At 51.9% G+C, this 20,249-nt stretch overlaps 1 long non-coding RNA gene across 1 annotated transcript in view, besides 2 other annotated features; it reads right to left on the reverse strand.

Annotated features, from left to right (window-relative positions):
• LRRK1-AS1 (LRRK1 antisense RNA 1) overlaps positions 1-19,484 on the reverse strand; it is a 109,606-nt gene extending 90,122 nt beyond the window's left edge. The window contains exon 1 of the long non-coding RNA XR_001751724.2: positions 19,365-19,484. This is a non-coding gene — a long non-coding RNA (LRRK1 antisense RNA 1). The remainder of the gene's footprint in view (positions 1-19,364) is intronic.
• Positions 3,496-3,545: an enhancer, noted in NCBI's record as "active region_10186". NCBI's record gives its function as "activates an Ori minimal core promoter by ATAC-STARR-seq in GM12878 lymphoblastoid cells {active_cell/tissue: GM12878}" and the evidence as "EXISTENCE:reporter gene assay evidence [ECO:0000049][PMID:35858748]".
• Positions 6,450-6,569: an enhancer, noted in NCBI's record as "active region_10187". NCBI's record gives its function as "activates an Ori minimal core promoter by ATAC-STARR-seq in GM12878 lymphoblastoid cells {active_cell/tissue: GM12878}" and the evidence as "EXISTENCE:reporter gene assay evidence [ECO:0000049][PMID:35858748]".
• Positions 19,485-20,249: the final 765 nt, after the last annotated feature.

Here is a 20,249-nt window from a genome sequence, read left to right on the forward strand (position 1 = left end):
GTGCTCACTGCAGCATAGTGCAGTTCTGCTTCCGAAGCCAACACATCTGCCAGTCTCCACCAAGGCACCCCAGGAAAAGCTACCTCCATCCTCACATGGGGAGCAGTCTGGTCAGGGACGCCAAGTGGTCCGTGGGCTCTGGAGGCCTGGCTGGAGTCCTGCCCATTCCCCACCATCGGTGGCCATGTCAGATCCTGGCCCAAGGGACAAGCCTGGTGCACTCTGAGTGGCACTGTGGGGACTGGAGAGGGTGTGGCCTATAGGGCCGGTGGCACAGGACCTCGCAGAGCTCAGAGATGCTGACCTGGGCTCTTTCCTGAGGCCTAGCTCCAGCCCAGAGAGGCCACCAGAACTGCTTCACGGCATCCGATGACTGAAATGTTCCTACCTGAAGGCTGGTTCAAAGAAACAGCTGACTCCGCAGTTAGACGTGGGCCAGGTCTCCACGGAGCATGCGTGCTTGGCTGTCCCTGCTCGGCCCAGGGGCAAGGCCTGCTCTGCTGCAGCCCTCTCTGGCCCCCTTTTCCCTTCCTCCCATCCTTCCCCACCAGGAACCTTCCCTTCCCCCACAGGCCTCCACTCCACACTCGAGGGGAGCACCTTTGCTCACACCCTCTGTAGCTGTCTGCGGAGTGGAGCAGGAGGAAAGGGACCGCCACGTGCTCACTGTCGCCTGTTCGAGGAGATGCGTCCACTCTGGCCTTTCCCCTGCACTGGGCATGTCACTGTCACCTAACCACTGCCCCTCTTGTGGAGGGACTTGTGAGGTCCACTGTCCCGGGGAGCAGGGTCTGAGAGCAGAGCTGGGCACCCCACCTCTCTCATCCAAGCACCTTCTCCTCAAACTCCCCTTGAGGCGGGGTGAGGGGATGAGGTCACAGCTTCTGGGACCTGGCTGACCGGACCACCCCCTCCACAGCAAGAAGCGAGGGGGCCGTGGTTCCTCACCTGCACCATGCGCCAGGCCTGCCAGCTCCTCTCCCACCTCGCCTAGCCCCCACCCTCATGAGGGGAACAATAAGGACACGGAGACTCAGCGACATGAGTCCAAGTGACATGAGGACCACAGACCCCCCACACCTGCAGCTGACATAGGGAGTGACCATTCACATTCCAGAATTCCAGAAACCCCAAACTTGGTCATTGTCACCTGGGAAAAGGCTCTGGCCAGCCCCACAGGCCCCTTCAGGGCCAGGCCAGCCATGGGGGGCTGTGTGAGAAAGCAGCGGGTCAGCCTCTGCCCATGCCTCCCTGGTTGGCCAGCAGCAACTCTTCTATACATGAAAGAGTCTCCATCTGCTCTTGAAAAAGTCTCCCTGTCACCCACGTTTCCACTCCTGACCTCTGACCCTCCTGCACCCCAGTCCCATGCTCCTTTGCCAGGCCCCGGATGCTTGAGAGGACCCCAGGGTCTGAGGACCTGGGTCTGGCCGGGGCACAGCTGCCAGGTGCCTCTGACACCTCCTGTCTGTCAGGGCCACTCTCAGCCGTATGTTCCTAATTCCCTGACGCTCAGCTCCATATAAGCCATGAGGCGGGAGGGGCGGCTCCACTGCTGAGCAACTGCAGTCCCCCAGGTGGCCGTGGCTGGAACCACGAGGGGCTGCAGCTCAGGCGTGGCCTGGCCCCAGGAAGTTCCTGCCAGGTGGTCCAGAGCCGGCCAGGAGCCAGGAATGGCCTGCAGGGCTGGGGCTGAAAGCCCTTCTGCAGGCTTGATGCTCCTGGAACCTGGCCTTGAAAGGTCCCAGCAGGATCCCTCCTCAGAGACGGTACTGCCTAAGGCCCCTTTAAGCAAATCCAGCAGACAAAGCCATTTCCTGGAGAGCCAGGCAGGTGGAGCTAGGCCCCGTGTCACAGCCTTTAAACCAGGCTTCTCCGTGGGGCAATCATTTCCTTCCCGGCTCTCACCTGCAGCCTCCCGCTGTCCAGGATATTTGTGCCAAAGATGGCTATCGGAAGGCATGGCCTAAGGTGTGATCAAGGGGTGAGGTGCATCCCTTTGGGCTGAATTATTTTTTAACCAAATTTATTGCTATATTTTGTATGCAGTTAAATTCACCCTTTTGGGGTATGCAATGTGATGAATTTTGACAAATGTACACTTTCATGTAAGCACCACCATCAAGCTAAAGAATACTCCCACCACCTCAAAAGGTTTCCCCATGTCCCTTTTGGTCAATATCCATCCCTCACCCCAAGACCTGGCAACTACTGATCTCTTGTCCATCCCTACAGCTTTGCTTTTTCCAGGTTGTCATATAATTGAAATCATATATGTAGGCTTTTGGGTCTGGCTTCTGTGACTTGAGTTTAATCTATGCTGTTGAATAAATCAGGCATTCATTCCCTGTATTGCTCAGTAATATTCCATGGCATGGATGTTCCACAGTCTGCTTATCGATTCACTAGTTGATGGACAGTTGGGTTGTTTTTATTTTTCAACTGTTATGAATAGCGCTGCTATCAACATTCATGTACAAGGTTTTATGTAGACACATGTTCTCATTTCTCTTGGATAAATACCTAGGAGAGGGATTGCTGGTTATATGGTAGGTATAGTTCAACTTTGTGAAAAGAAACAGCCAGACTGTTTTCTAAATGCTCGTACCATTTTACGTCCCACCGCAATGTAAGGTAGTTCCTCTCCAGCACTTAGTGTTGTCGGTCTTTTCAATTTTAGCTTTTATTTATTTTATTATTATTTTTTCTTAGTTGGAGTTTCACATTTTCACTAAAAAAGTGTTCACTCCAACACTTTTTTAGTTGGAGTGGGCAATTCACTCCAGCCATTGCCCAGGCTGGAGTGCAATGGCATGATCTTGGCTCACTGCAACCTCCATCTCCCGGGTTCAAGCAGTCCTACTGCCTCCGCCTCCAAAGTAGCTGGGATTACAGGCATGTGCCAACATGCCCGGCTAATTTTGTATTTTTGGTAGAGATGGGGTTTCACCATGTTGGTCAGGCTGGTCTCGAACTCCTGACCTCATGTGATCCACCTGCCTCGGCCTCCCAAAGTGCTGGGATTACAGGCATGAACCACCGCACCCGGCCAATTTCAGCTATTTCAATAGATGCATGGTGGCACCTTATCATGGATTTGATTTGCATTACCCTAGTGATTAATAATGGGAAGCACCTTTTCACATGCCTGTTATGTGTCTGTATATCTGCTTTGGTGAAGTGTCTATTCATTTCTTTCCATCCCTTTCTTTAACAGGCTTGTAATTGCTTTGAAACATGTGTCTTGAACATAGCTCTGACCACTGACTGAGGAAGATCCTGTTCATTCAGCAGTGGCTCTCAGCTCTTACATGGGACTGTTTACAAGTCATGCCCCCTCCTGACCCCTAGACTCACTTCAGAGGCTGCACTAAAGTGAAAGCCACAGACCAGACAAGGGGAAGCCCTACCTTGGGCGGCAAGCCGGACAAGCCACGGCGCCCCCCTGCACTTCCGGTGGGTAACTCCCATGGGCGCCCAGAGAGAAAAGATGTGTGAGTCCGGAGAGGCACCTGAGAGGGTAAAATAATAGTTCAGCCACATATCTGTCAGTGATGGGCATACGTTCTGAGAAAGGATGCGTTGTTAGGCAATTTTGTCATTGTGTGAACATCCTCGTGCGTTCTTACACAAGCCTAGGTGGTACAGCCGACCATATGGGACAGCCTGCTGCTCCTGGGCTACAAACCTGCACAGCATGTTACTGTACTGAGTACCATAGGCGACTATAACATGCTGGGAAGCAGGTGTGTATCTAAACATATCTGAACATAGGAAGGGCACGGTAAAAATATGGTATTTTAATCTTATGGGACACAATTGTGTATGCAGTCCGTCATTGACCAAAACATCATTATGCGGTGCACGGTTGTACCCAGTTAAGATAAACCAGAAAATACACGTAAAGCACTCAGTCAGTGCCAAGGAAACAGTAAGCACTCATTAAACATTAGGTACTGTCATTATTACAATCTCATCATTCCCAAGCTGATAAAAATCGTCTTCAGTTGGGAACATGATGTCCACACCCAGAAACAGCCCCTGCAGTGGAGACCCAGGCACAGCTTCAAGAGGGTCTACAGGGTGTCACAAGCCCCCGAGGTCCCTCCATCCCTGTGAAGATGAGCTCAGCTCCTACCTGCTGCCCAGGCAGAACTCTGTGGGTTTCTGCTGGCATCACCAGATGTCCCCTGCCCTCTCTTTTCTAGCAGCCCCCGGCAGTCTTGCATCTCACATGCACACAGGTACACCCCTTCATGCCTTTTGTTCCCCCATCAAGGACACCTCATCCCCCCACCCTCCGCTTCCAGGACGAGGTCTCCGCCACTCCCATTCCTCTGAACCTCTACAACCAATATCTCCTGAACAGTGACTATGGGAGAGGATTGTATGAGCAGAGACCAATTCCCACGTATTTGAGGAGTGGGGAGCTGGCACCAGGCAGTGCACTCAGGAAGGCATCCAGAGAGAGAGGAGCTGGGACAATGGAAAGGGCTCACAGAACTGCTAAGCAAGGACTCGCGTTTCACTCTAGGCCAATAGGAGGCACTGAAGGTTGTGGACATGAGAAAATGTGATCAGGAAGCCAAGCAGAGGTATGGCCAGGAGAAGGGCAACCGGAGCCTGGGTGGGGTGTGGAAAGAACGAGGGTTCAGGAGAAGTCGCTCCTTGCTGTGCAACGGTGGACAATTCCCCAAGGCTCTCCAAGCCTTGATTTTCTCCTCTGTGAAATGGGCTAACAATAACAAGCCAGCCTGCCTCTGAGAGGAGCTGGGGTCAGGTAGCTCAGAGGAGTGGACATCCTCCAAAACCAAGAACATGACATCACAGGTTGTGCTTTTGCACGGGTGGGTGTGGCAGGCAACACGGTGGGACTGAGGTAGACCACATGGATGTGATGGGGACTGAGCAGGGAGGGACATCTAACATCCAGGCACATGCAGCACCTTCTTCATAAGCCTGTGTTCCGGGGGCCGCTTCCCCTTCCACACGCACACACAGCCAACTAACAGATCTGCCTTCTAAGTCCACAAGTAACTACGAGGAAAGACCAAGCCATGCGCACACCCCGCACTCTGCTCCTGCCCCACCACCCTAACAGTGTGGGCAGGGCCCTTCCTGTTCCGCCAGGTTTACGAGGACAGACCAAGCCACGCGCACACCCCGCACTCTGCTCCTGCCTCACCACCCTAACAGTGTGGGCAGGGCCTTTCCTGTTCTGCCATGATTAGCACACATACACTCGACACCTTGCGTGTGTGTGTGTGGGTGTCTGTGTTGTGTGCACTTGTGTGTGTGTTGCATGCATGTGTTGCATGTGTCTTGTATGCAGGTGCATGTATGTGCATGTGTGAATGGTTTCGTAGCATAGTGTTGTTCTGACTTGCTTTAACACCAGGACTTGGGGACCTTGGCTTCAGGACATCCTCTGTGGGCAGCGCAGAATTGCAGAGTCACCAGCTGCTGCACAGTGTCTGCGTTATCTCAGACCTCACTTAGCCAAAGAAAGGCAAGGAACAATAGTGACATTTCTGAAGTGTGGTTATTTCATAAACTGCAGAGTTGGCAGGGCTGTTGATCTGTGCATGCCAGATTTTCCAGGTGAGGGTTCTGAGAGGTCCAGAGGAAAACCTGTCCCAAGCCACTGTGCAGAGGACAGAGTTAGACTCCCAGGGCCATGCTCAGAGGAAGGCGGCTCTCAGGAATCTACTCCCAAAGATGTGGCCTGCTCCTGTCTCTCAGGACTTAGGGGTGATCAGACTCTCTACCTTGCATTCCTGAGGACGTCCAGAAGGAGCCCAAAAGACTGGGACTGGAACCCTTGCCCCTTCCAAAAAAGGACGTTGAGCCACTGCCTGCCAGGGAGGCTCTGGCCCAGTGGGAGCAGGGGCGAGGGAGGGGCCCAGCCCAGGAGCCCCAGATCTTTTCCCTAAAGGGCTTTTCCACTTTGCAATCAGCAGGTTATCTCGGGGTGGTGCTTCAGTGCCCGGTGAACACCCCAGTCCTCCGTGACCTTCCACTGCACGGGAGTAGCCCCAGAGACTGGCCTGGTCTGAACCAGCTATTCACTGAGGGTGTCGAGCAGCGATTTTCTACTTCTCTCCTTCCTTCTCCATTAGCGGACGTTCTTCCATAAAGAAGATTCCCTGGGAGGAACAGGTGCTTCTCCTGCAAAGCTCCCCTCCAGTGGGGACGGACGGGCTTTCCTCTCGCCTTCTCTTTCTTTGCTTTGTCTTTTCCTGTTTTATCACAGTGGGTCCATGGACTGAACACACTATGCTTTATGCTCACTGACAGGCACCACACTTTTTGAAGTTCCAATTGTCCCGGAAATCTCTGGGCACTTCTTGCTTTCTGGCATAGGATGTCCGGGCTTACCTCAAACCGTTCCTGCCCAGACCCGGAACCAGCCAGTCTCCCAGAGAGCCCTGGTCCCTTGGGGTGGGACTGGGGTGCAGAACCTAAGATCTGGCTATTGTGTTCATGGCTATGTGGTGACCCGCTTCACCTCACAGAAGAAAGAGCTGACTCCCCAAAGAGGGGCTGGAGGTCCCCCTAGTCCCACAGGCAGGCAGGGCACAGTGGGGCTGAACTGCAAGACTCTGCCCTGGCTCTTTGGGTGGGGAGAGGTTTCTAGGTTGGTCTCTACTAGCTCATGGCTCTCGGAGGGAGGCCTACCCAGGGTCCTTTGCATATACTTGATCTGAGCCCTGTGGTCAGGGCCTGAAACACGGACGATGAGTAATTTCGAGAGTACTGAAAAGGAAAGGCCACAGAAACAGAGCTGCCCACCCCCTGGCCGATGCCTCACATTCCACCTTTCATTCCTAAATATGGAGATTCAAATCCCAATCTAAATGCAACAACCCTGAGGATTTCACTGTCCGTGTTCAGGTGTTTCTAAGAGCAGACGCCACTGATAGGGCAGACATGACCCTGAGGCCCCTGGCCCTGAGGTGGGAGGGAGGGGCCACCCTGTATTGGGGAAGAGCCTGGGGACCTAAGCAGGCTTTGAAGACCTCACACACACATGTGTCACAGTCTGCCAGCTCCAGCCCCCTGCTCACCCACTGTTCTAGGAAAAAAAAAATACATCACCCCCTGCAACCTGCAGACCCCCGGGGGGCTCCTGGGGCTGGCTGCCACGCACCCAGCTTCTGCTGGGGCACAGTGGACCTTTATGGCTGAAACCCGTCGACCCTCATGTGAGTCAGCGAGGAAACATGTGTGCTCTCGTTTTCCTTAGAACCCTGTGGTCTCCAGGGCCTAACAAGGTACAAATGGAAATGTTATTCTTGCCGGAGTTGAGAGGCATGGAGTGGAAATACGAAACCAGCCAAGAGCAGCAGTAGGCAGTGCGTGTGTGTGCGCGTGTGTGTGTGTGGCGGGGGGTTAGGGGTGGGCTTGACTCCGGCTGGCATCTGTTTTGAGGGGTGGGCCCCGAAAGACTTTAAAGGGGCTACACCCTTTCAGACAAGCTCACCCTACCCCACCCCTCCACTCTGCGCTTCCTCACCCACCCCCCATGGGATCCAAATACCTTTCAGTCCAAGAAGCGTCTACCCCATTAACAGAGAGACCCCATTTCGGAATTCAGCATTTGTTGTCAGCTCACAGGGAGCTATTTCTCTTTGTGTCAGAATAATATAATACTTTAACATATTGACAAAATGCTTTGTTTCTGGTTTGGGGGATTTTTTGGTACTTTATGCTGCCCCATCACTTAGGCCATTCAGGTAGGGGTTATTTCAGACTCGCTGTCCCCAGGGTGGGGCCGCACAGTCGGGAACAGGGCACACACTTGTACATTTTCGACTTCCACTGATGGCTACGGAGACGCTGGGAAGTGAAACTACATTAAGAGCCGAGGCCTAAAACTGCAAGAGCCAGGCTTTATAACAGATCAACGTTTTTGGGTTTTTGGTTTTATGTTTTGGTTTTTGGTTCCAAAAGGCTCCAAGGATAAAGTTTAGACCATAAACAACAGGATAGGAGGACCTGTACACCAAGCCAGTGTCCCACCTGGAGAGAGATAGTCTGTCCCAGCCAGAGGAGAGGCTGGAAAGGAAGCAGGGGAGGCGGATGCTGTCTGAGAAGCTGGGCCGTGCCCCTCAGCACCTGCCAGGACCACGTGCTAGAAAGAAAGCCCAGGACCCTGCGGAGCGCAGGAGAGGACAGAAGAGAGCCAGGCCTGGTAAACCTCGGCTCGCCAGGGCTCCCCTCCAGGGCAATGAGCTGGTTGGGCTTGAACATGAAGCTGAGGCTCCCTCCAGCTTTCTTGCCCATAGCCCAGGCTGTCTCCTGGTCCTCATGGCTAAAGGTGCACTCTGGTCCTCACCTCTGCTCCAAGCAGCAGGATGGAGGAAAGGGGAGATAGGCAGAGGCCATGCCCAGAGGGGTCTCCTTCCGGATATTTCCCAGTCACTGCCTCCCAGCATTTCTGCTTTCATCCTTGTCTCATGAAAGAGGTCACCTGGCCACACCCAGAGGCAAGGGAGGCTGAGACCTGTGGTCTTCATTCCAAGAGGCCCAGCTCAGAGTCAGGAGGTCTGGGAGACAGTGAACGGACATGGGGCAGGGGACCAGCAACCTCTCTGCAGTGTGTCCAGCCACCAGATGCTCCTGCCCCTGCTGACAGCACAGGGTGCCTGAGCCCCCAACAGCTGTGTCTCCAACACCCCTGCTGAAAGACTACCCTCCATAGCTCTATTTTGGGTTCTCAGGTTTAGGAGTCAGGGGGCTCCCTTTCCCAGGAACCTCCCTTGGATGAGGCGATTTTACAAACAAGAGTTAGCCCAGCCCACCAGAGCTGTGCTGCCCAAAATGGTAGCCACTACTTATCTGCCACTATCGAAATATATATTTAAACTAATTAAAATTAAGTATATTTTGGAAGTCAGCTCCTCTGCCACATGAGCCACACTTCAAGTGTTCCATGGCCACCCAGGGCTAATGGTTCCCATATTGCATGGCACAGACCCAGAACCTTCCACCATCACAGAAAGTTGTATCGGCAGTGCTACCCCAAAGGCACAAGGAACCAGAGGCCTAGGGCTCCGTGTGGGGAGCTGCAGGAGTGGCCCCAGCCAGTGCGCCTGCTTCTTTCTTACCACAGGCCCTGCTGCTGCTGGTGACTGGCACCACCCCATGGCCCCATCACTGCTGAGGGGCAGAATGGACACTCAGCCTGATCCCAAAGCCCAGCCACATTATATGCCCCCAGTGTGAGAGGAGAGACCAACAGGCATGGTCAAAGACAAGGAGAAAGACGGGGAGCTGAGGGTGAGAAGGACTGGAGTGCTGTACCTCTGTGATAGCTGACTGGGCAAGTGGAGGCAAATCCCCCCCGCCCTCAACCTCCTCACCCATCTGCCCGCCCACCCACCCATCTATCCATCTACCCATGTACACATACATTAATTTACCCATCCACTCATCCATTTATCTATCCACCATCTACCCTTTCACCCACTCATCTGCCTATCCACCTATCTACCCATCCACCCAACCATCTATCTACCCCCACACCCATCCACCCATCCACATCCATATACTCACACACCCAATCACCCATCCACCTACCCATCTACCCATCCACTCACACATCTATCCATCCACCCAGCCATCTATCTACTCACACACCCATCCACCCATCTACCCATCTATCCACTTATCTACCTACCCACCCAACCACCTGTCCACCCCACCATTCACCAATCCACCCACCTATCAACCCACACACCCATACACCCAAGTACTCATCTATCCACCCATCTACCCATCCACCCACCTATCCATCCATCCACTCAACCACCTATCCACTCACACACCCATCCACATATCTACCAATCAATACACCCTTATGTCATCCACCCATGCACCTATCCACCCATCTATCCATGTACTCATGCATCCATTCACCCATCCACCCATCTGTCCATCCAACCATCCACCCCTCCACTCACCTATCCACCCCTCTACCCACCTATTCACTCATCCAGCTGTCTACCCAACCACCTATTCACCCTCCCATCCACCCAACCACCTATTCACTCAACCATCCACCCATCCACCCAATCATCCACCCATCTACCCACTTATCCATCCAACTATCCAACCACCTATCCACTTATCCATCCACCCATTCACTTATTCATCCATCTGCTCCATACTCCTGCCTCCCAGGCATTGTGTCATTGTGGGTACAAAAATAAATGAGCCATACTCTCCCACCTCAATATGAAAATAATTAGCAGAATAATAATAATAGCTACAAGAACAATAATTGGTATAGTGGTGCAATACCTCTATCAGAAGTGGAGTGAGTGTCCCTTGCAGACACAGTGAGTGGTAAATGCTGGCAAGTGCTGAGAAGCCCTCCAAGATCCCTCTCCCTCTAAGAGTCTATGCTTTCCTGGGTGGGCTGAGTCTGTCAATCCAAATGCTGGGCCTGGCCCAGACCCCCTGAGGGAGGCTTGTGGGAGGCCAAGCTACACCCCCCACACCAGCTCTGGCCAGATCACTCAGCCAAGGTGGGACCCAGGCCAGGCCCCCACCTGCCTACTCCATGGCCCTACATTCCCAGGCTGCCAAGTCTCCACCCCTGCAACAAGAAAAAAACCTAGGAACCCCCAAGATGTAACCTCACCTGCAGGGGAACCTGGCAAAGGCCGCCTTCACAGCTCCAGCTCTGGAGGAGTTGGAAAGGGTGCAGGCAGGGGCAGGGGGCTCGGCTGCAGGCTTTCTCAGTCTTGAGCTGCACAGACCCATTCACTTGCAGAGCCACGTGAGGACTGAAGATGATGTCAATAAAGACCTAGCTGGGGGCTGGCATGTAGCTGGTGCCTAAGATATGCTACTCATAGTTACGATGTGTGAAGGGTTCCCATTCCTCTCTCACAGGCTCTGAAGCTATAAACTAGAGATGTGAGGTGCACAGGATCATTCCTATAACTTGACAAGCCTGAACAAAACCATCTTGCACACGGGTTCCAGCTTGTACCCAAAAAGGAAAGGACAACACATCCTAAATCAAGCCACCTTTGACCTGCTTGGGAGATCTGCTCCCCACACACTTCACCTGAGGCTTTGGAGAATTATCACGGCACATGTCAACAGGCTGGGCGGCCGGGAAGCCTGAGGCCTCTGGGGAGCAAGTGTGTGGATGGCCACAAGAGCATCAGTTCATCGCTGGCAGTGATCAGGGCCTGGACCCACCCTGGGGGTGAGCTAGTTGGCTGCACGGCACTTCTGGTTATTAGTAGGTTTAAGATCAGATTGATTCATTTTAAACGCAGCTTGAGAGCTGAATGGGCCATGGGGTTTGCAAAATGATCTCTGCCCCACAAAAACATACCCTACAGGCAATGTTTCCTCAGGTGTTCAGGCCAGAAGACTCAAAAATTTTTGAAGTACCAGATGCTGAGCTACATTTGAGAGATAGTCAAATCAAACATTTTTTTTTTCTTTTTTTTTTTTTGAGATGGAGTCTCATTCTGTCGCCCAGGCTGGAGTGCACTGGCACGATCTTGGCTCACTGCAACCTCCGCCTCCCGGGTTCAAGCAACTCTCATGCCTCAGCTTCCCGAGTAGCTGGGACTACAGGTGCACACTGCCATGCCTGGCTAATTTTTTGTATCTTAGTAGAGACGGGGTTTCACCGTGTTGCCCAGGCTGGTCGTGAACTCCTGAGCTCAGGCAATCCGTCTGCCTCAGCCTCCCAAAGTGCTGCGATTACAGGCATGAGCCACCACACCCGGCCTCTCTTTTATGAAAAGAAACAGGGTCTTGCTTTGTTATCAGGCTGGAGTGCAGTGGTGCAATCATAGCTTAGTGCAGCCTCAAACATCTGGGTTCAAGCAACCCTCTCACCTCAGCCTCCCAAGTTGCTGGGATTACAGGCATGAGCCACCACTCCTGGCTTCAAATACTTCTTTATAGAGTATCTACTTTTCCCACTACTAGTCAGTGACTAACACAGGGATGGTCCCTGTCCTCATGGGCCTGGTATTGAAGGTGGGGAGCAGATAAGGAAACAGACAAATAACATGATTGCAAATTAAACAAGTGTAAGACTATACTCTCTACTTTCAGGGATCATTTCTATAATTCATTACAAATCAAACAAGTGTTCACGTGCTGTGAGGAAAATGAAGAAAGGACTGAAATGATAGAACTAGAAGGAACAAAAGTGGAAGCAGCGAGACCATTAGGAGGCCTCTGGAGCAATCCAGGTGAAAACTGACGGCTACTTGGATGACACTGCTGATAGCAGAAACAGGAAGATATGGGGAGAATTGGGGTACATGAGAAGATAGAACCCAACGTTGCTTGCTGCTGGATTGTATAATACATGGGCTGAGAAGGAAAGAAGGAGAATCAAGAATTACTCATATACTGTTGGCCCGAAAATAGTTGTAGCTGTTGTGAAAATGGGGTACACTGGTTGAGAGCGGTTAGGCAGATTAAAAAGGGAAATCAGGAGTTCTGCATTGAACAGATGAAGTTTGAGATGGCTGTGGAAAAACCAAACACAAATGTCAGGTGAGCTAAGAGCCTTAGGAACTCAGAGCTCTGACCTGGAGCTAGAAATGAGGCCATCAATTTATAGAGGAAATCACCGAGGTGGCGCAGGATCCCTCAGATCTAAGAGAGGGAGGAGGAATAGGAGGAGCAAGTTGAGAAGACACAAAGAGTGGCTAAAGGAGTAGGAGGAAAAAGGGCAAATGGGGTGGACTGCAGAAAGGAGAGGTGAGGAGGTGGAAATAGCATGCTCAATGGATCCTCCCACCTCAGCCTCCCAATACAGATGCAGACTACCGCGACTGGCTAATTTTTTGTATTTCTTGTAGGCACAGGGTTTCACCATGTTGCCCAGGCTGGTCCCAAACTCCTGGGCTCAAGTGATCTGCGCACCTCAGCCTCCCAAAGTGCTGGGATTAGAGGCATGAGCCACCACGCCCGGTTCCCCTCCTGTTTTCTGGCTGCCTCATATCTGTAGAATATACTGGCTCTGTTTGGGGGCATTTCCCATCTTGAGAGTCCCATGTCCCTGAAGTAGAACAGAGAAAACTTCCCTCCCAGCCTCCTTTGCAGCCAGGGCACAGGCATGTGACCTCACTCCACCAATCAGATTCAACCTCAGGAGACATCATTTGAAAATGAGACTCCAGAGGGCAGCAGGGGTCACAAGTTGACCTCCAACCACCAAATAGAGGCCGCTATCGGAACTGACCACAAAAATAAATAAATAAAATTAGAAGACTGGAAGCCAACCAAGTTTTTGAGTAAATGTATTCTCCAAAAGAATGCAAGGTTGGTGAGTAACAGCCAATACTTGAAGCCACCCCCAGGACTCCAGACTCACACCAACAGGAAGCCGTGTGGCCCCCAGAAATGGCGTATCCCCTCAAGACCCACCCCATGGAGAATAATGAATAAGGAGAATAGGGCAGAGCTGAGTCTGCAGAAGGCAATGGCTCTGGCACATCTTCCTGAGAGCAGAGCAGGGTGCTAGATGGTACCCAGGAAGCCAGGCGTCCTCACTCAGCAGGACTTCCTGCTCCAGCGACTGCTGTGTGCATCCCTTTCCGTGTTGCTGGATGGAAGCTGTACTGCACTTTTCCTGTTTCTAACCAACCACTGATCCTGAGTATGTCGGGGCAGATAACTTGTCTTTGAGTTTCAAGGTCACAGGACCACAGGGCGCCCCACCTGCACCTTACAAAGAAGCCTGCCCTGGAAGTAGCAAGATGGGATTCTGGCTGTTTGCCTTGGGAGACACTGATGTTTTCTGTGTCTGAGGGAAGGGCTGCGTGAGTGCTGGATAGCAAAGGGACAGACTGTGTGGAGTTACTGCGAGCTGCCTTCCCAGGACCCATTCCCGCTTTCTTCCTAACACAGCCCTGATTTGGGAGGGAACAAAAATGTGTCCCTCTGAAATACTCATCTTCTCAATTAGAGGTGACCACGTGACCCAGGTCTGGCCAAGGAAATGTAGGTGAAAAGCTCAGAGATAATGTTTTCTAGATAAAAAGTCAAAGCTTTACTGGAAGAAAGACCACCTTTGTCCTGTCTCTTCCTCCTTCCTCTTCTTCCTGCCTGGAAAGGAGATGTGATGCCGGTGGTGGAGCAGCCGTCCTGTGACTGTGTGGCGTGAAGAGATGTCATTCACCAGCAGAAGGGAGCTGGAGGAGTGAGGGAGGTTAGGAAAGAGGAGAGTCATGCAATGATGCAGCTTAGGAGAGCAAGCTCATCTGGGAAGTCAGACCTGGCCCTGCCACAGAGGCACCAAGGCAGGGCACGCTGAGAGAGAGGTACACAGCCCTAGGGGAATGTAGAAGGAAGGAGGACAGGGAGGGGAAGGAGATTTGTCTTTCCAAAAAGGGTAGTAGCAGAGAAACAGATGGCCTTGAAGGCGCTTTCTTTTCTTTTTTTTTTTTCCTTTTTCTTTTGCTTTTCTTGGAGACAGTCTTGCCCTCTTGCCCAGGCTGGAGTGCAGTGGCGTGATCTCAGCTCCCTGCAACCTCTGCCTCCTGGGTTCCAGTAATTCTCCTGCCTCAGCCTCCCAAGTACCTGGGACTACAGGCACCAGCCACCACGCCCGGCTAATTTTTGTATTTTTAGTAGAGACAGAGTTTCACCATATTAGCCAGGATGGTCTTGAACTCCTGACCTCAGGCAATCTGCCCGCCTCGGCCTCCCAAAGTGCTGGGATTACAGGCGCGAGCCACCGTGCCCGGCTGAAGGTGCTTTCTAATACCACCCATCATCTATTAAACTGACATCTAAATCAGCATTACATTGTTGTAACGTTAACCCATATTTCACTGTTGCTTTGGCCAGGCAGGCTGACTTTCCCATTGAACATGGAAGTCATGAAGTTGATGAAGTTCCCAGACAACCCATTTTGGAATTCAGAGGTGAATCCAGAGGGGAAGCTGATTACTGACTCAGGACACAGGCCCTGGGCTTGCAGGCTGGATAGTCCCTGGGGCATCTGAGAGCGGAACATCAGGCGGTGGTGATTGCAGGTGTGAGCAGAATCACAGGGCTCTGCGGTGCCCAGGAAAAGGGTAAGAACGGTATTGTTTTTCCCCCTAGTTTCACATCTTTTGAGAGGCCATACACAGAGCATCGGCCTTTTGCAGCACAGTTTTCTGTTGTTTCATCCATTTGCATCTTCCAAGAGGCTCCTGTAGCAGGATGAATAGAACCATCAGTTTTTCCAAATGCTATCCCTGCACCCAGGACAATTATGGGACTTTCTGAGGTTATCTGGGAAGGAGGAGGACTGGGGATGGGAACTCACACTTCCTGCCTATCTACCATGGCTGGAGAGGCCACAGTGCCACCCATGTTTGTGAATGTGACTGATCTCCTTTCATTCTCACAGCTCCCGTAGGGTTTATTCTCCTGTTTCACAGATGAAGTAACAAGTGAACAGAAATAATGAGCTGGGCGAGATGCTCACACCTGTAGTCCCAGTGTTTTGGGAGGCTGAAGTGGGAGGATCGCTTGAGCCCAGGAGTTCAAGACAAGCCTGAACAACACAGTGAGACTCTATCTCTACAAAAAGTTTAAAAACCTAGCCAGGCGTGGTATGCAACTGTAGTCCTACCTACTTGGGGGGCTGAGGTGGGAGGATCGCTTGAGCCCAGGAGGTCAAGGCTGCAGTGAGCTATGATTGCAACCACTGCACTCCAGCCTGGGCAACAGTGTGAGATCCTGTCTCTAAATGTAAAAGATAATCGACCAAAGTCACCTGTCTGGGGATCAGCAGTGCTAGGATGCAGTCCCAGGTCTGCTGGCTTTGGAGCCCCACTCTGCCCCCAGCCCCAGCCTGTAGGTTTCTTCTGGTGGGCGCGTGTGTATGTATTTGTCGTCTCACAACATGAAAAGCCTGTACATTCTGGCTCTGGAGTCAGACTGCCTCCCTCTGAGCCCCGGTTCCACTGCTCACTGGCTGTGTGACCTGGAGCAGGTTTCTTGACCTCTCTGTGCTTCAGTTTCCTCATCTGTAAAATGGGAGTAATGAGAGTGGCATCTACCACAGAGCTGGGATGGGGAAAGTCCTGTGTGAGCTATTTTTATTTTTGTTGTTGTTGTGGATGCTGGAGTGGGTGGAGGAGCCTCTGAGCCTGCACAGCTGGGAGGGGCAGTCCCAGGAAAGCGTCCGGAACCCTGCTGACCTTCGGAGCCCCCAGAACCCACTTCAGCGGAGGCAGGCGTGGAGGGCAGCGGTGTCGGGCTCTGACACCCTAGACGCTGTCCTCCCAGGAAGTGGTTTTGGTTTTATCCCACTTTTGGTCTGAGTGAGCAGACAGGCCCTTTTGGGCTCCTGTCCCCAAATAGCCTCCCACCCTGTATCTGAGGGAAAGTGAAACTGTCCACCCTCAGGTCCTGATCAGGTCCCTGCTGAGGCCCTGACCCCCCTCTGAGGTGCTCGGAAGAATGGGCTTGGATTCCGGCCAAGCACCCAGAGAAAGGTCAGCCGCGCTTGCTGGATGCGAGTGGGTCAGGGGCCCTGCTAGTGTGGGGACAATGGATCCCTCAGCCCTGGCCCGTGGGGCTCTGTCTGCCCATGGAAAGGCCCAGACCCCAGTGGGAAAGGTTCTGGGCTGGCGGCCTGGGGGTGCCCTGCACTGCCTGCCTGTCCTTGGGGCTTTATTGCCACTGGACTGGGCGTTTCTGTTGTTTCCCTGAGGGCACCTTTCTACCTACACCTCCAGCCCTCAGGGCCTGACCACCCTAGCTGGGCTTCCAGCCTGAACTGAGAGGCCCACCTTCCCAGGGCACCCTCTGGGCCTGACCAAGCCAGTCTTGCCTGCGACCCCTGAGAGGCCAAAGCAAGGCCCTGGGTACATGAGGCTTCCCGACTCTGCTTAGAGAGCACCGGTTGCTTCATTCCCCCCTACCTAAAGTGTGAGCTCTAAGATGGCAGAGGCAGGGTCTGAGACAGTCAGAGCCCCCATAGCTCCGTGCCAGGTCCCAGGTCCCCAGACCCAAGCCCACAGCAACAAGCACAGAAACCGGTGGTGTGGAAACAGTCCCCAGACAACCTTATCAGTCAGATAGCATAAAGCCTTCCTGTCTGCTCCAGCCTGGCCCCGTAAAAACAGAGCTGCTGATTAGAGCCTTCCAGACACCAAGACTGGAGCCCTTCACGGGCTGGAGAGACATTCTGGTGAGCTTTTCCTGCCCCACTCTATCTTTAAAAATTACGAGGGGTCAGGCACTGTGGCTCACGCCTGTAGTTCCAGCACTTGGGGAGGCCAAAGCAAGAGGACTGCTTGAAGCCGGGAGTTGAAGACCAGCCTGGGCAATATAGCAGGATGCCATCTCTAATAGATACATGTATTTGGGATTTTCCAAATTAGCACCTGTCCTTGAAAAGAAATTTGATGCTGTCTTTTTAAAACCATAAAAATATTCATCATTTACCCAGAAATTTCATTTATGAGAATGTAGCTTAAGGAAATAATGGAAAGGAAGGACTAAAGTACTAGTTAAAGCTACCCACTGCTGGGTCTGTCTAGAACATCTAACCTGACCCTGGAAATGACCCCATGCCCAACATCAAAAGGACGGCTAGGTTAGCGCACGGCAGCCCACCCGCACGGCTGTATTAGTGCACGGACGGCTGCTAAGGATGGCTATATTAGTACACGGCTGTATTATGCACTCGACGGGGTCCTGGATGGCTGTTAAGAATATAAGTGACCAAGGTACACAAGCGGCCTGTGCCCAGCGGGCGTGCAACGTGCCTGCATGTGACCAGGCATGAGGGCACATGTCAGGATGCTGGGATTGCAGCTCACACTCCCTCCTGGCCCCTTTTCTTGCTTTCATTCTTTTCTTTCTCTCTTCTTTCCTTTAACTGAGGCCACAAGGACTTCTGCCTGTCCTCAAGAGGCTGGGAAGACAGCCTCCGAGTGGCACCTTCTGGCACGTGGAGAGAGGAGGAAATGCATGAAACCACTTCCCAGCTTTCTTCCTCATTTGCAAACCCTTGCTCTTCCTCTCAGCTCCTGTGAACCCCAAAACAACAACAAAATAGCATCGTCGTCATCATCATCGTCACCATCGTCATTGTCGTCAAACCCAGAGCCAAGCTATACTTCCTCCCCAGTGAGTCCACGTTTCCCTGCAGGCCCTGCCCTGAGACCCCAGCTCCGGAGAGACCTGTCACTGGAAAGTGTCTCGGAAGCCAACTCCACCACTCGCTGGGGCTTTCCTTCCCTTCCTCAGGGGAGCAGAGGAGCTAATTGTCCAAAGGCCAAGCCACCTGCTGGGTTGCCCAAGGAATACAGGCCAGTCCAACCGGGGACAAGCACGTTAGACAGAAAAATAAAATTCCAGATCCAAAGGGGAAGCTGACAGCAGTGCATCAGGGGCACACCCACCCAGGGTGGACAGCAAAGTAGGCACAGGGGGCTCCACGGCAAGTCAGAGCTGAGTGTTCCTGGCAGGTGTGGGCCAGGAACTTGACCCAGAGCTCGCTACCCAAACATCCAAGTCACTGCCTGCTCTGGGTGAGGGGGTGCTTGGGACCACAGCTGGGGGAGGATCCTCAAGCACAAAACCAAAAAGCACCAACCCTAAGGACAAGATCGACCAGCCTGACCGCGTTACATTTATGAACTTCTGTTATCAAAAGACACCATAAAGGCCGGGTGCTACGGCTCATGCCTGTAATCCCAGCACTTTGGGAAACCAAAGCAAAGGGATCACTTCAGGCCAGGAGTTCAAGATCATCCTGGCCAACATGGCGAAACCTCATCTCTACTAAAAAATAAAAAATAATAAGAATAAATAAAAAATAAAAGTAAAAAAAGACGTCATAAAGAGGGAAAAGACAAGTCACAAGCTGACAATATTTCAACAATAATGAGCAACACAGAATTTGTATTCAAAATACAGAAAGAACCCCGCTAATCTAATAAGGAAAAGATAAACAATATAATAGGAAAATGAGCAAAAGACTCAGAGGGGCATTTACAAATGAGGAAACTCAAATTGCAAAGACGTGAAAAGCTGCTTAGCCTGAAATGCAAAAGAAAGTCAAGAGGAGAATGGGAAGCAACAGGAAATACATACCTGTCCTGAGAGGAAGCACATCTGCTGTCGGGCGTAACCACAGTGAAAACGCTGCACACGGGCACGAAAGGACAGAGAGTGTCTGTACAGCACGGTCCAAAACACAAAACACTGGCCATGGTCCAAAGAACCCTCAAAAGTAAACTCAACTATTTTTTAAACTGTACAGTCATTCAATGGAATCTAACATTCATTCAATGGACGCATGTGTCAAAAATCATAATTTTGAGCAACAGTGAGGAGAACACAGAATTTAAAAAGAATACCTGCAGCCAGCCAGAATGACCACCCGAAAGAGGCCTGCAGTCTCAGCAATCCGGGAGGCTGAGGCGGGAGGATCACTTGAGCCCAGGAATTTGAGACCAGCCTGGCCAACATACCAAGACTCCATCTCTACAGAAAAAAAAAAAAGAAAAAGAAAACTTAGAGGGTGTAGTGGCACATGGCCATAGTCCTAGCTACTCGAGAGGCTGAGACGGGAGGATCACTTGAGCCCAGGAGTTCCAGGTTGCAGTGAGCCAAGATTGTGCCCCTGCACTCCAGCCTGGGTGACAGAGAACGATCCCAAATCAAAAAATAGAGAAAGAAAAGAAAAATAACAAAAAGAATACCTTGAATCTGATCTTATTTATATAAAGTACAGAAATAAGAAAAACTCTATAATGCATTAATCTGAGATGCATATGTTCACAGATGGTAAAGGCATAAGTGTTCATTTCATGACTACTACTATTTATTTATTTATGTATTTAATTTTTTTGAGATGGAGTCTCACTCTGCTGCCCAGGCGGAGTGAATGGCGTGATCTCAGCTCACTGCAACCTCCGCCTCCCGGATTCAAGCAATCCTCCTGCCTCAGCCTCCCGAGTAGCTGGGACTACAGGCACGCACCACCACACCCAGCTAATTTTTGTATTTTCAGTAGAGACGGGGTTTCACCATGTTGGCCAGGCTGGTCTCGAACTCCTGACCTCAGGTGATTCACCCACCTCAGCCTCCCAAAGTGCTGGGATTACAGGCGTGAGCCACCGCACCTGGCCTACACTACTACTATTTAAACTGGACCTAAAATGATGTCTGTGCAGTATAAAACACCGCACCATTGTTTGTGATTGAAAAGGCTGAAATGACTTGTGTCCATCTGTAGGAAC

This window comes from Homo sapiens, chromosome 15, assembly GCF_000001405.40.
Source record: "Homo sapiens chromosome 15, GRCh38.p14 Primary Assembly".
NCBI classification, from domain to species: Eukaryota; Metazoa; Chordata; class Mammalia; order Primates; family Hominidae; genus Homo; species Homo sapiens.